The following is a 14,111-nucleotide window of genomic DNA, read 5'->3' as shown; positions in this document are numbered from 1 at the left end:
TCCAGCCAGAGCGTGGCGGGCCCTCCCTTTCTCCCATATTCCGCCCCACTCATCTCCCCGCTCGCGAAAGATGCCGCAGGTGGAAACCCGCTCCCCGCCCAGTTGAGCATGTGACCTCTTTGGCTCTCATTGGCTCAGTCAATTAGGATCGGAGGAGAGCGGTCTTCTCAGGCTCTCTTCTGTTTCCCTTCACCTGTTCCCAGTCCCACGCTGATGCCGACCCTGGGGAGTCATCCGGCCAAAGTCGTTGCTTCAACGAAAAAGCGGATGCCGGGCCCCGGGCTGACTCTCTACCCAACTCCTAACTCGCGAGGCTCACCCCTGGGAAGCCAAGGAGTGGTCGGGCCCCGCTAACCTCGTCGCATCTTCCGGACTGGAGGCCTGGGGGAGGCCTGGGGAAGGAGGTGGGAGAGGAGTCGGGCGGTCCCGGATGGAGGGGATGGGGCAGCGGGGCGTCCAACTGGATTTACAGCCTGAATTTCTTTTGCGTTCCTGTGAGCCCCTTACCTCCCCAGAATACTGATTAATCAGGGAATGCCTGCTGGTTTTTCAACTTTATTGTGTTTGTGTTTAACAGCTATATTGCGTTATAACTGGCATACAATAAACCACACATTTAAAGTGTACGCGTTAAGTTTTGACCTATGTATACAACCATGCAGCCATCACCACAATTAAAACAATGAATTAAACCACCACTACCCAGTATCCTCCTGCCCCTGATAGTCCCTCCTTACTGTCAACTTCCCCTTTCCTAGTTCAGCTGGTACTTTTCATTCCTATATCACTTTTTATAAAAAATTCGAGCCGGGAGTCTGTTGCACAGGCTGGTCTTGAACTTCCGGCCTCTAGTGATCCTCTCGCCTTGCCTCCCTAAATGCTGGGATTACAGGCATGAGCCACCGCGCGCGCCCGGCCAACTGAGTAGTTGTAGTTCTTTATATAGCCTATACTAGTCCTTGTCAGATCCATGATTTGCAAATATTTTTCTCCCATTCTGTGGGTTTTTACTTTCTTGCTGGTGTCCTTTGAAGCAAAACGTTTTAATTTTGAAGTGTAGTTTTTTTCTTTTGTTGCCTGTCTTTTTATATCATATCTAAGACATCATTGTGTAATCCAAGGTCATGAGGATTTAAAAAAAAATTTATGGGTACATAATTAGCATATTTATGAGGTATATGAGATGTTTTCATATAGGCATACGATGTAATCATCACAGGAGGGTAGATGGGGTTTCCATCACCTCAAGCATTCATCATTTCTGTCATGAACATTCCAATTGTACTTCCTCAGTTATTTTTGAAGGTACAACAAATTATTGCTGACTGCAGTCACCCTGTTGTGCTATCAAATACTAGATATTTTTCAATCATGGGGATTTTCACCTATATTTTCTACTAAGAGTTTTGTAGTTTCAACTCTTACATTTAAGTCTTTGACTCATTCTGAGCTAATTTTTGTATATGGTGTGAGAAAGGCATATCACTTTATTCCTTTGCATGTGGATATCCAGTTGTCCTAACACCATTTGTTAAAAAGACTATTCTTTCCCTCATCAAATTGTCTTGGCCTCCTTGTCGAAAATCAGTTCACTATAGATGCAAGGGTTTATTTTTGACTCTCAGTTCTATTCTCTTGATCTGTATGTCTATCTACATTTATCTGTATATCTGTCTACAAACTACACAGATTTGATTAATACAGCTTTGTAATAAATTTTGAAATCAGGAAGTGCACATCCTCCAACTTTGTTCTTCTTTCTCCAGATTTATTTGATCCTTTGTATTTCAATATGGATTTTAGCGTCAGCTTAGCTTGTCAATTTCTTTCTCTTTTTTTTTTTTTTTTGTTTTTTGTTTTTTTGAGACAGAGTTTTGCTCTTGTTGCTGAGGATGGAGTGCAGTGGCATGATCTTGGCTCACTGCAACCTCTACCTCCTGCCTCAGCCTCCCAAATAGCTGAGATTACAGGCATGCACCACCATGCCTGGCTAATTTTGTATTTTTAATAGAGACAGGGTTTTACCATGTTGGCCAAGCTGGTCTTGAATTCCTGACCTCAAGTAATCCATCTGCCTTGGCCGCCCAAAGTGCTGGGATTACAGGTGTGAGCCACCACACCCGGCCCAGCTTGTCAATTTCTGCAAAGAAGGCTGAGATTCTTGATCAGGATTGTGTTCAATTGGTAGATCAATTTGGGGCCTATTTTCATCCTAACAATAATTATCTCCCAATCCATAAACATGGGATGTCTTTCCATTTATTTAGGTGTTCTTTAATTTCTTTCAGAGATGTTTTGTAGTATTTGGTGTAGAAATGAACTTTTGTTAAATTTATTCCTAAGTATTTCATTCTTTTTGGTGTTGATATAAATGGAATTGTTTTCTTAACTTCAAATTGTTTGTAATATGTAGAAATACCATTGAGTTTTGTATATTGATCTTGTGTCTGGCAATCTTGCTAAACTCTTTATTAGTTCTAACAGCGTAAGTGGATTTCTTAGGACTTTTTCTATATGGTATCTTGTCGTCTGCAAAGAGAGATCATCATACTTCTCCCTTTCCAATCTGAATGCGCAGTCTTCTTTCCTTCCTTTTGTCGAATTGCTCTGTCTAGAACATTTAATACAATGTTGAAGTGACAAGAATAAATATACTTGTTTTGTGCCTGATATTGGGAAGAAAGCTCCCAACTGGAGCTTTCACATCACCATTAATATGATGTAGGCTGTGGGTTTTTCCAAAGATGCTCTTTATCATGTTGAGGAAGTAATTTATTTCTAGTTTGTTGAAAGGTTTTTTCCAAGAAAGAGTGTTGTGTATTGCCAAATGCTTTTTCAGTGTATATTGAAATGATCATGTGCTTTTTGTCCTCTTTTTTCTATTAAAGTGGTATATTATATTAAGTAAATTTTGTATGTTAAAAAAACCTTGCATTCTTTCTTTTCCCCTTCTCAACGTTTATTTTAGAATCAGGGGGGTACATGTGCGAATTTGTTACAAAGGTATATTGGGTGATGCTGAGGTCTGGGGTATGGTTGAACCTGTCACCCAGGTAGCGAGCACAGTATCCAATAGGTAGTTTTCAATCTTTGCTCCCCTCCTTCTCTCCTGGCTCTAGTAGTCCCCAGTGTCTGCTGTTCCCATCTTTTTTTTTTTTTTTTTTTTTTTTAGACAGAGTCTCTGTCACCCAGGCTGGAGTGCAGTGGCGCAATCTCGGCTCACTGCAACCTCCGCCTTCCAGGTTCAAGTGATTCCCCTGCTTCAGCCTCCTGAGTAGCTGGGATTACAGGCGCCTGCTACCACGCCCGGCTAATTTTTTGTATTTTTAGTGGAGACGGGGTTTCACCATATTAGCCAGGATGGTCTTGATCTCCGGACCTCATGATCCGCCCGCCTTGGCCTCCCAAAGTGCTGGGATGACAGGCGTGAGCCACCGCGACTGGCCTCTTCCCAACTTTATGTCCATGTGTACCCAATGTTTAGCTCCCACTTTTTAATTTTTTTGAGACAGGACTTGCTCTGTCACCTAGGACAGAGAGCAGTTGTGCGATCTCTGCTCACTGCAACCTCCTCTTCTCAGGTTCAAGCGATTCTTGTGCCTCAGCCATCAGAGTAGCTGGGATTACAGGCATGCACCACCATGCCTGGCTAATTCTTGTATTTTTTATAGAGACCAGATTTAATCATGTTGCCCAGGCTGGACTCAAACTCCTGGCCTCATTTGATCTGCCCACCTTGGCCTCCTAAAAGTGCTGAGATTATAGGAGTGAGCCACCGTGCTCAGCCTAGCTTCCACTTACAAGAGAACATGAGTTATTCCAAACTTTGTAATCTTAGGATAAGTCCCACTTAGTCATAATGTATAATCCTTTTTCTATGTTGCTGGATTTGGTTTACTAGTATTTTGTTGAAGATTTTTTCCGTTTGTATTCCCAAGAGATTATTGGTCTGCTATTTGCTTTTCTTGTGACATCTTTGTCTGGTTTTGGTATCAGGGTATTAAGAGTGACCTCATAAAGTTGAGGACACTCTTCTCAATTGAGGAGTATTTTCTTCTCTTCTATTTTTTAGGAGACTCTATGAAATATTGGTGTTAATTCCTTACCATCTGGCTTACAATCTGGTCCTGGGCTTTTCCCTGTGGGAAGTTTTAAAAGAATTATTATTAGTCCAACCTCTTTACTTGTATATTTCTTCATTAATACAGAAATTAACAAAATTTGTTACTGATTTCTGATTTTATTCCAACATGGTCAGAGAACATATGTAGTATAATTTCAATTCTTTTAAATTTACTGAGACTTGTTTTATGGCCTAGCATGTGATCTACCCCAGAGAATGTTCCATGTGCACTTGAGAAGGATGTGTATTTTGCTGCTGTTGGGTGGAGTGCCTTGTAGATATTTGTCAAGTCTAGTTGGTTTATAGTGTTTTCTATTTTCTTGTTGATCTTCTGCCTAGTTGCTCTAGCTATTATTGAAATGGAGTTTTGAGGGTTCCAACTATTGTAGTTAAATTGTCTGTTTCTTCCTTCAATTCTCTAAGTTTTTATGTCATGTATCTTTAGGCTGTATTGCTAGGTACATATGTTTATAATTGTCATATTTTCCTAATGGACTGACCCTTTTATCAATATAAAATGTCCTTGGCATACAAGTGGCCAAGAAACATATGAGACAATGTTCATCATCACTAATCAACAGAGAAATGGAAATCACAACCACAATAAGATATCATCTCACGCCAGTCAGAATAGCTATATTAAAAAGTCAAAAAATAACAGATGCTGAAGAGGCTAAGGAAAAAAAGAGAATGCTTATACACTGCTGGCAGGAATGTAAATTGGTTGAACCACTGTGGAAAGAAGTTTGGAGATTTCTCAAAGAATTTAAAACAGAGCAGCTGGGCATGGTGGCTCATGCCTGTAATCCCAGCACTTTGGGAGGCTGAGGCAGGTCGATCACCTGAGGTCAGGAGTTCAAGACCAGCCTAGCCAACATGGTGAAACCCTGTCTCTGCTAAAAATACAGAAATTAGCTGGGCATGGCGGCACACGCCTGTAGTCCCAGCTACTTGGGAGGCTGAGGCAGGAGAATCGCTTAAACCCAGGAGGCGGAGGTTGCAGTGAGCACAGATCACACCACTGCACTCCAGCCTGGGTGACAGAGAGAGACTCCACCAAACAAACAAACAAACAAACAAAAACAGAGCTACCATTCAACATAGCCTCCCATTACTGGGTATATATCCAAAAGAAAACAATTCATTCTACCAGAAAGACACATGCACCTATATGTTTATCACAGTGCTATTCACAAGAGCAAAGACATGGAATCAACCTAGGTGCCCATCAACAGTGGATTGGATAAAGAAAATATAGTACATATATACCATGGAATACTATGCAGCCATAAAAAAGAATGAAATCATGTCCTTTGCAGTAACATGGATGCTGCTGGAGGCCATTATCCTAAGTGAAATAACACAGGAACAGAAAACCAAATATTGCACAGTCTCATAAGTGGGAGCCAAACATTAGATACACATGGACACAAAAATGGCAACAAGAGACACTAAAGATGACAAGAGGGAGAAGGGAGGGAGGGGTGCAAGGATTGGAAAGCTAACCATTAGGTACTATGCTTACTACTTGGGTAATGGGATCTGTACCCCAACCTCAGGACCCATGTAACAAACCTGTGTATGTACCTCCAGAATTTAAAATAAAAGTTGGAACTATTAAAAAAAAGTCCTTCTTTGTCTATAGAAACAATTTTTTTCTTAAAGTTTATGTTGTCTAACATTAGTATAGCTACTCCACTTCTCTTTGAGTTACTGTTTGCATGGTATATCTTTTTCCATCATTTTACTTTCAACCTGTTTGTGTTTTTGAATCTAAAGTGTGTTTTGCCAGGTGCATTGGCTGATGCCTGTAATCCCAGCTGCTTAGGGGAGACTGAGGCAGGAGGATTGCCTGAGGACGGGAGTTCAAGACCAGCTTGGGAAACACAGTACGACCCTATCTCTAAAAAAAAAAAAATTTTTTTTGGAGAGATATCTGCACTCCCATGTTTACTGCAGCCTTGTTTGCAATAGCCAAGATTTGGAAGCGACCTAAGTGTCCATCAGCAGATGAATGGATAAAGAAAATATATTGCTTATACACAATGGAGTACTGTTCAGCCATAAAGAGTGAGATCCTGTCACTTCCAACAACATGGATGGAACTGAAGATCGTTATGTGAAGTGAAATTAGCCAGGTAAGTTTTGAAGTAAGCCAGGTCCTATCTCTAAAAAAATTGTTTTAAATTAGCCAAGTATGGTGGCAGGCACCTATAGTTCCAGCTACTTGGGTGGCTAAGGTGGGAAGATTACTTGAAACCAGAAGTTTGAGGCTGCAGTGAGCTATCATTACACCACTAGACTCCAACCTAGGCAACAGAGCAAGACTCTGTCTCTAAATAATAAAAATAAAAATAAAATGAAGTGTGTTTTTTGTAGATAGCATATAGTTGGATCATGATTTTTAAAAAAAATCAATTTGCCAATCTCTACCTTCTGATTGGAGTATTTAATTCATTTGCATTTAATGAAATTACTGATAAGGCAGGATTTATCTACCATTTTACTGTTGGTTTCTTTAGGCCTCTTGCCTTTTTTTTCTCCTCTATTTTTCATTACTTCCTTCTCTTTTCTTATATATTTTCTAGTGTAACATTTCTGTTTCCTTGTCATTTTTTACTATATATTTAAAATTATTTACTTAGTGGCTGGTGTGTCTTGAGGTGGACTCTTTGAGTCTTTCCTGCTTAGAATTTGTTGAGCTTCTTGGATTCACTTTAATGTTTTTCCTCAAAGTGGGAAAGGTTTTGGCCACTATTTCTTCCAGTATATGTTTTATCCCCTTCCCTCTCTCTCACTTATCTATTCTAGGACTCCTATTATGTGTATGTTGGTATGTTTGATGGTGTCTGACGGGTGTCTGAAGCACTGATCATTTTTCTTTGCTGATTTTTTTTTTCTGTTCCACAGACTGGATAATCTCAAATGACTTCTAATTTGCTGATTACTTCTTTTACCAGTTCACACATTTTTTAAACTTCTCAAGTAAATCTTTCATTTGCATTTTTGTACTTTGCAACTCTAAAATTTCTACTTGGTTCTATTTTATAAACTAACTTTCTTTCCTTTTTTCTTTTCTTTCTTCTTTCTCTTTTTTCTTTCTCAATCTTTCTCTTTTCTTCCCTCCCTCCTTTCCCTCCCTCCCTCCCTTTCTCCTTCTTTCTGCCTGCCTTTCTTTCCTTTCTCTTTCTTCCTCTCTCTTTCTCCCCTTCCTACCTTTCCTCCCTCCCTCTTTCCCTCCTTCTGCCTCTGTCCTCTCTGTTTGTGCAGACACTTAAGGTCAGACGAAAGAGCTGGGGAATTCTCAGGTCTCTTCTGGGCATGTGCACAGTCCTACACATGTGTGTGGCCTTCTGCATTCTTAGGAATAGGTTGAAGCTTTTCAAAACGTCCTATAGAAATCTCATTCCCAGTTTTTCCTTCTAAGTCTTTTGGTCAGTTTGTTTGTTCCAACTGTTACAGCCACCTTAGGAAGCTGAGATGTTCAACAATTGCTGTTGATTTTTTTTGACAAATGCACCCAGGGAAAAGGTTGTTCACACTGGGTAACCTCTTAGTCACATCAAATAAAGACAAGACCTAGGAGTAGGGACTTACATGGAACTACCAAAAAGGCCAAATGGCAATTCTCTGGTAATGAAGCTTTGGAGGAGTTCCAATCCCCTTCTGAGCCCTACGGTGGCTGCTCTGCTGCTGGATGTCAGCATGATTGTGTGGCCGAGGCTGTTGTGGAGCTGGGGAAAGGGGGAGTGGGAATAGGGTACATTAAAATGTCAGAAAGCTTGCTTTTCTTACCCAGATGCAACCCTTTCCTTTTTTTTTTTTTTTTTTTTTTGAGACAGAGTCTCGCACTGTCACCCAGGCTGGATGGAGTGCAGTGGCGTGATCTCGGCTCACTGCAAGCTCTGCCTCCTAGGTTCACGCCATTCTCCTGCCTCAGCCTCCCAAGTAGCTGGGACTACAGGCACCTGCCACCGCGCCCGGCTAATTTTTTGTATTTTTAGTAGAGATGGGGTTTCACTGTGTTAGCCAGGATGGTCTCCATCTCCTGACCTCGTGATCGCCCGCCTTGGCCTCCCGAAGTGCTGGGATTACAGGCCTTTTCTTGAATAAATGGATTGCTGCAAGCCTCTGGTTAATGTCTAGACAGTTTTGCTAGTGTTCTCATTGCTTTTATGGAAGAGAGGGTTTTCAGAGGTTGTTACTCTATTATGCCCACTGATGTCCTCTCATAATTTTTGAAAGGAATTATGCTTGCAACAATCTTCAAGTTCTGCTACTATGTATTGCATTGGAGAGGGGTTCATTTTCCTTTGCCTTCAGGGACTGCTATGGTTTGAATGTGTTCCCCAAAGTAAATGTGTTGGAAACTTAATCTCTACTGCAATAGTGTTGAGAGGTGGGACCTGTAAGAGGTTAGGTCACGAGAGCTCTACCCTCATGAATAAATTAATGATGTTATGCCAGGAGTGGGTTAGTTATCACAGGAATGGGTTGCTAGTTAAAGGGTGAGTTAGACTCCATTCCTCTCTTGCCATGTGATGCCTTCTGCCATGCTGAGGCAGCAAGAAGGCCCTCACCAGATATAGCCCCTTGATATTGGACTTCTCATCCTCCAGAACCGTGAGCCACATACACTTCTCTGTAACATTCTGTTATGGCAATACAAAATAGACTAAGATATGGAGGGATGCTTTGGGGAAAACACTTCTAAAATATGGGTTATGGGAGAACTTCAGGTTAAGAAGGAGGTGTAGCTACTGACAGGAAGTGGGACCAGTCTTTAAGAGAAGTCTTCCAAAGGCTTTGGGCCTGTCCACTCTCAGGGTCCTAAGTAGGTGCCTGCCTGGATCCATGTCTGCTTGCACCCTGCACCCTGCACCCTGCCCATGCAATCTCTGCTGAGTCCACTGGGAATGTGTCATAGTGTATGTGAAACCTGTTTGGAGTGGAGTGCCTACACAGGGCTTCTGGCATGGAAACCTCCTCTGTGCCAGAGGTATATTTATGAAGTGGAAGCAGCCACAGAAGGCAGGCCAGCCATACAAAGGAAAGATGTCCAAAGCATTCAGCCTTATTGCACAAGAAGTTACAAGTTAATAACAATTTGCATTAATGAAACTCTTTCTATCCACAAGACTAAGCATCTCAGGTGTGTGAGGTTTATAGGTATTTAAAAACCTGGCCTTGGTGAAATGCTTTACAAGAACTCGATACACAAGACACGTAAGAAACGATGGGCTGGGACTTTGGCAGCTGAAATAGTCTCAGTGCTTCACTGAGAAGCTCATCAGTTTTGAAGGACAATCTGTTGGCTTATGTATTGGGTAACATCCTGGGGTCAGCAAATTACTGCACATCTGGCCTGCTTTTATACGGCCTATGAGCTAAGAGTTGGAGAAAAAAACAAAAAGTATGCAAAAAAGGCCCTACATGGTTTGCAAAGCCTAGCAGATTTATTATCTGGCCTTTTACAGAAAGTCTGTCTACCCCTGAGTAACGGCATCATGGATTTATATTTACTTTATTATTTATTTACTTTTGAGACAGGGTCTTGCTCTGTTGCTCAAGCTAGAGTACAGTGGTGTGAACATGGTTCACTGCAGCCTCACACCTCAGCCTCAAGCGATCCTCCCACCTCAGCCACCACCACATGCCACCATGCCCGGCTAATTATATGGTGAATTTAAATGACCAGTGATATCCCAGGACAGTCAATACCTACAACAAGAACCAAAGAGCACAAAAACACTTGAAATATCATTACTTTACTTTAGTGTTCCAGGCATTTTAAATATTCATACAATCGCCTTATTTCAGCAGTCATTTCCTCTCCAGTACAGATTTTGTGTCCAGAACCAGAGCCATGTACGTCACTGAATTTTCTCTACAGCACCCGCATGCTACACGGGACCTACTCCGGTGCCCATGTCTTTGCTAGTAGAGCCTCTCACCACACTTGCAAGAGGGCTGGACCTCCCCTTGCTTGATGTAGCCTCCACTGTGAATGAAAACACACTTTGTCACTTCGATCACAGTACATTTCCAGCACTCCCAGGTGTTCCATGTATGTGGCAATCATCCCACAGAGCTAGTGACACATCATGTCAGCTGGTACCTATGTCAGCACCTGCTCCACTATATCATACAGATGCTGAGGCACTTAAATGTTCTTGGTAAAATGGAGTTCATAATTGCCATAGGAGTTGAGTTTTGGGGAAAGGGACTTTCAATAATTAATACCCTTAATACATATTTAGCAGATTTATAATTTCGTGTCTGTTTACATTTGTTGTCAAAGCTTCATAAACTATTTATGTAAATGAAAGCATGTTTGAGTTTCCAAATGCTGCTATGACAAGCAAACAGAGAAACTGCTTAGACAACACCTGCTTGTGCCATAAATACATACGGCAACATCCGGTCATCCTTAAAGAAATGCTTGTGTTTCCAAAAAGAATTTTTTTTTTTAAGTCATAAGCCTTATGCAATTCTTCCAAGATAATAATGTGTTTGTCCTTCCTTCTCAAGCATGGTTCAAGGCATCTCAAGGCATATTGCTGTCTGAGGTTCTGATTTAACTGTCCGGGGGTACAGGGGAAGAGTGGGCACTAACATTTTTTAAAAGCTTCACAGTCATTCCAGCATGTAGTCAGTGTTGAGAACCTTGGTACTAAAGGCTCTTGCATCTTCCTACTGTCACTTGTCCTCATCAAAAGCCCTTGAGGTAGTCCCTGGGTCAGGCAATGATCTCTTTCATGGGCTAAGAAACTAAGGCACAGAGAGGTTAACAGGCTCCTCTGATACTGTGCAGTCAAATGACAGAACCATGATTGCAACTGACATTTCCAAATAAACCATGACTCCTCCCCCAGCAACGGGTAGCACTTACATGGACCAAAAGTATGAAGCCTGACTGGGAGCCAGGCATAACCTTCTGTGTCAAGGACATCATGGAAGGGAAAGGAACAGTTCTGAACCAATCATTCCGCATGAACAGAAATAAATACATAAAGCCAGGCTTGGTGGTGTGCACCTGTAGTCTCAGCTACTCAGGAGGCTGAGACGGGAGGACTGCTCAAGCCCAGAAATTCGAGGCTGCAGTGTGCTATGATTACAACTGCGAATAGCCACTGCAATCCAGCCTGGGCAACACAGTGAGACCACGTCTCTGTAAAATTTTATTTAAAATTTATTTAAAATTTATTTAAATTTATTTGAAATTTAAAATCAAATTTTAAAAATTTAAAAAATATTTTTTAAAAAGGAAATAAGTTCCTAAGATACTTATTGGAAGCCACATGAGGAATGAGGCATAACTTTTTCTTTTCTTAAAAGTCTTACTTCCCTCTTATATATGCCATTGAGTCAGGTTTCTCAGAAAATCCATCAAGATTCACAGACTTCCTGACATCTGAATTCTTAGCTCTGTTACTGTGAGGGCTAGAAAACTCGTGAATGTCTCTATAATTTGGGTCCAAAAGATAATTACAAACCTCTGTTAGCATGTGACAGCAATACAAAAATGCCCATGCTTTCCCTGTCACCCGCCCACCTAGACTTGCCAGGGACCCAGAACCCTACACGTTCTAACTGGGTATACATCTTCCCAGGATCCGATCAGATCTCACTCCCATCTCAGAATTTCCCAAACACCAACCCATCGGCTGCGTTGGGCCTCAAGGATTAATGACTACAACTGACTGTTTTATTTTGCTCTACAGGCAAACTTTTAAATCTGTATTCTGGGTAACCCCCAGGACGTTTATTTTGTAATTCCAAATTTCCATGAGAGCCAATTCACCTGGGACCTTCTCCACTTCACCCCAAGGTAACACCCTCACATCCTATCAACTATTGCTGTACCTAAGAAATAATTTCTATCATTATTGCCTTTTTCATTGTAAGTTCTCACATCTCATCATGTTCAAGGAGGCATTGATTTTCTCCTCTTTTGTAAAAGTCTCACCTGACTGCAGAAATGTTTTCTTGAGCCAAGTAGAAATGAGGAATGGAGCACACATAGGCATGAAGAAAGAACGTAGCACGTTCTGGTGGGGAGGGCAGTTTTCAATGGGTTGCTGTGATTTCCAGGACACTCTAGGAAGGGCCTGTTTACTCAGCTTACACTGAACACAAATGACATCTTGTTCTCCCTACTGCTAGTGATGTGGCCTCCTGAAAAGCCTATAAAGTATTAGTTAATCCAGTAAGCGGAAGCCACTTCTAACAGTACACATTTGTTGAGATTTACAAGACACTGTGTGGAGATGAAACCACTTCTTTCCCATTTTAGAAGACTTCCCCATTCAGGCAGGATATATACTCTCCTAATACCCACAGGCACAGGAACTCGAATCCTTCCTGGAAGGAAACCTGTCCCTCTAGCTACTGCAGAAAGTGCTTGGGGGCATAAAAAGAACAAAAAGGGGGAAAGCAACCTTTGTCTGGGGCAGGGCCACTTGGGGAGTGGAATTTTACTGACTCCTCATCCTCAAAGAGGTTTTTACAAACGTTTAAAAAAAAGTAAAAAAAGAAAAAAAAAGGGAACTAGGCAAAACTGCATTTAGAATTTTGGTTAAAGCAAAGAAAATTGAGAAAATTGAATCATCATATTTTCAAAGACCTACCATATTCAACCTATTAAGTAAAGCAATATATCATGTTTTTTTCTCTCTCATGCTTATTTGATGCTTACAGGTTCAGGGCAGACTTGCCACTTTGTTTCTAAAACATGCAGAGAGCAGACTTAGAGCAGCATATGCTGTTTTGGGGCCCAACCCGCACAAACCCTGACAGGTGACTGACCAAACACCATCAGGAAGGTGATGAGGGAAACCACCTTTGCCGAGAGGCCAGTGCACAGCACAAAACTAAGGACTGTTGGTGCATGCTTGTACAGAGCTTAGTGTGGCAGAGTGTTACCGAAGGGATGGGTGGGGAACACACAGGCAACCTCCAATATGCTCTGACGTCCAATCCATAGTCCAGAGCAGTGGGGCTGCAGCCGGGCATGGAGCTAAGGCACTAGGGCTGCAGTGGGTGGGAGGCACCGACCAGAGGTCCCAGTGCCCTGCCGTTCCCGGGGAGAGGGGAAGGAGCTCTGCTCACAAAGCTGCCTTTGTGTACCAAAGTTGTTTTCAAAAGTCTCAACAGCACTGCTGAGAGCTACATCTGGGAAGCCCCCTGAGCAGCCCTCTCTTTGGGAGCTGCCTCCTCTGCTCACGTGCCTTCTTCCATCTCATCTTTGCGAGTTGCCTTTCTTTCCCCTGCTGTGGGCTGGATAAAGAGCAATCCAGTCATTTCACCATTCCCTGGAGCAGGACCCCGTGCTTTTTCCAAGGCAGCAGGGAGTGCCCTCTGTCACAGCTTGATGAAGGCAGCTGGCTGGGTCTGAGGTTGCTCCACATCTGGGGGTGGGAAGACACTGGAAATGGCTATGTCCACGATGCCTTGGCACAGTTCTGCATAGAGCTTCCTGAAATGTGTTTTTAAAAATATCATTGAGGATGTTCATCAAAGTACAAGCAAAAAAAATAGATGTTTTTTGTTTTTGAGACAGGGTTTTGCTCTGTCTCCCAAGTTGGCATGCAGTGGTGCGATCATGGTACATACACTGCAGCCTCAAATTCCTGGGCTCAAGGGATCCTCCCACCTTAGCCTCCCAAGTAGCTGGCACTATAGGTGTGCCCCACCATGCCCAGCTAATTTTTAAATTTTTTGTAGAGACAGGGTCTTGCTATGTTGCCCATGCTGCTCTTGAACTCCTGAGCTCAAGCAACCCTCTCACCTCGGCCTCCCAAAGTGCTGAGATTACAGGCGTGAGCCACCGTGCCTGGCAGTTTTTCTTGTTTTTGTTTTTTACCAAGATCTGCCCTAGAAATTCTATATCATGACCACATTTCTAAAACTGGTTGCCACTCAGCCAGAGAGAAAGGTCGGGTTACCCACAAAGGGAAGCCTATCAGACTAATAGCGGATCTCTCGG

At 42.3% G+C, this 14,111-nt stretch overlaps 2 protein-coding genes and 1 long non-coding RNA gene across 5 annotated transcripts in view, besides 2 other annotated features; 1 reads left to right on the top strand and 2 right to left on the bottom strand.

The window, feature by feature from the left end:
- The window catches only part of POLR1B (RNA polymerase I subunit B), a 37,783-nt gene extending 37,537 nt beyond the window's left edge, over positions 1 to 246 (bottom strand). The window contains exon 1 of the mRNA NM_001282772.2: positions 116 to 246. Within this exon, the coding sequence (NP_001269701.1) occupies positions 116 to 130 (15 nt within the window). The 5' untranslated portion in view covers positions 131 to 246. The remainder of the gene's footprint in view (positions 1 to 115) is intronic.
- Positions 70 to 626, top strand: LOC105373562 (uncharacterized). Its single transcript, NR_136321.1, has 2 exons — positions 70 to 79; positions 204 to 626. It is a non-coding gene; the product is annotated as an uncharacterized LOC105373562 (long non-coding RNA).
- The window catches only part of TTL (tubulin tyrosine ligase), a 59,584-nt gene continuing 46,015 nt past the window's right edge, over positions 543 to 14,111 (bottom strand). For 2 of the 3 annotated variants that reach the window (NM_153712.5, XM_011510665.3), the window contains one exon: positions 543 to 13,601. In NM_153712.5, coding sequence (NP_714923.1) covers positions 13,487 to 13,601 — 115 coding nt within the window. In that variant the 3' untranslated portion in view covers positions 543 to 13,486. The remainder of the gene's footprint in view (positions 13,602 to 14,111) is intronic. The other variant, NM_001371712.1, reaches the window with a different exon arrangement.
- Positions 12,686 to 13,186: an enhancer, noted in NCBI's record as "H3K4me1 hESC enhancer chr2:113286673-113287173 (GRCh37/hg19 assembly coordinates)". NCBI's record gives its function as "activates a minimal SCP1, AML or CMV promoter by ChIP-STARR-seq in naive H9 embryonic stem cells {active_cell/tissue: H9 hESC(naive)}" and the evidence as "EXISTENCE:reporter gene assay evidence [ECO:0000049][PMID:30033119]".
- Positions 13,187 to 13,687: an enhancer, noted in NCBI's record as "H3K4me1 hESC enhancer chr2:113286172-113286672 (GRCh37/hg19 assembly coordinates)". NCBI's record gives its function as "activates a minimal SCP1, AML or CMV promoter by ChIP-STARR-seq in naive H9 embryonic stem cells {active_cell/tissue: H9 hESC(naive)}" and the evidence as "EXISTENCE:reporter gene assay evidence [ECO:0000049][PMID:30033119]".

This window comes from Homo sapiens, chromosome 2 (assembly GCF_000001405.40).
Source record: "Homo sapiens chromosome 2, GRCh38.p14 Primary Assembly".
NCBI classification, from domain to species: Eukaryota; Metazoa; Chordata; class Mammalia; order Primates; family Hominidae; genus Homo; species Homo sapiens.
Note: the sequence above shows the minus strand (reverse complement) of the source record. Positions and strands in the feature narration are given on the sequence as shown.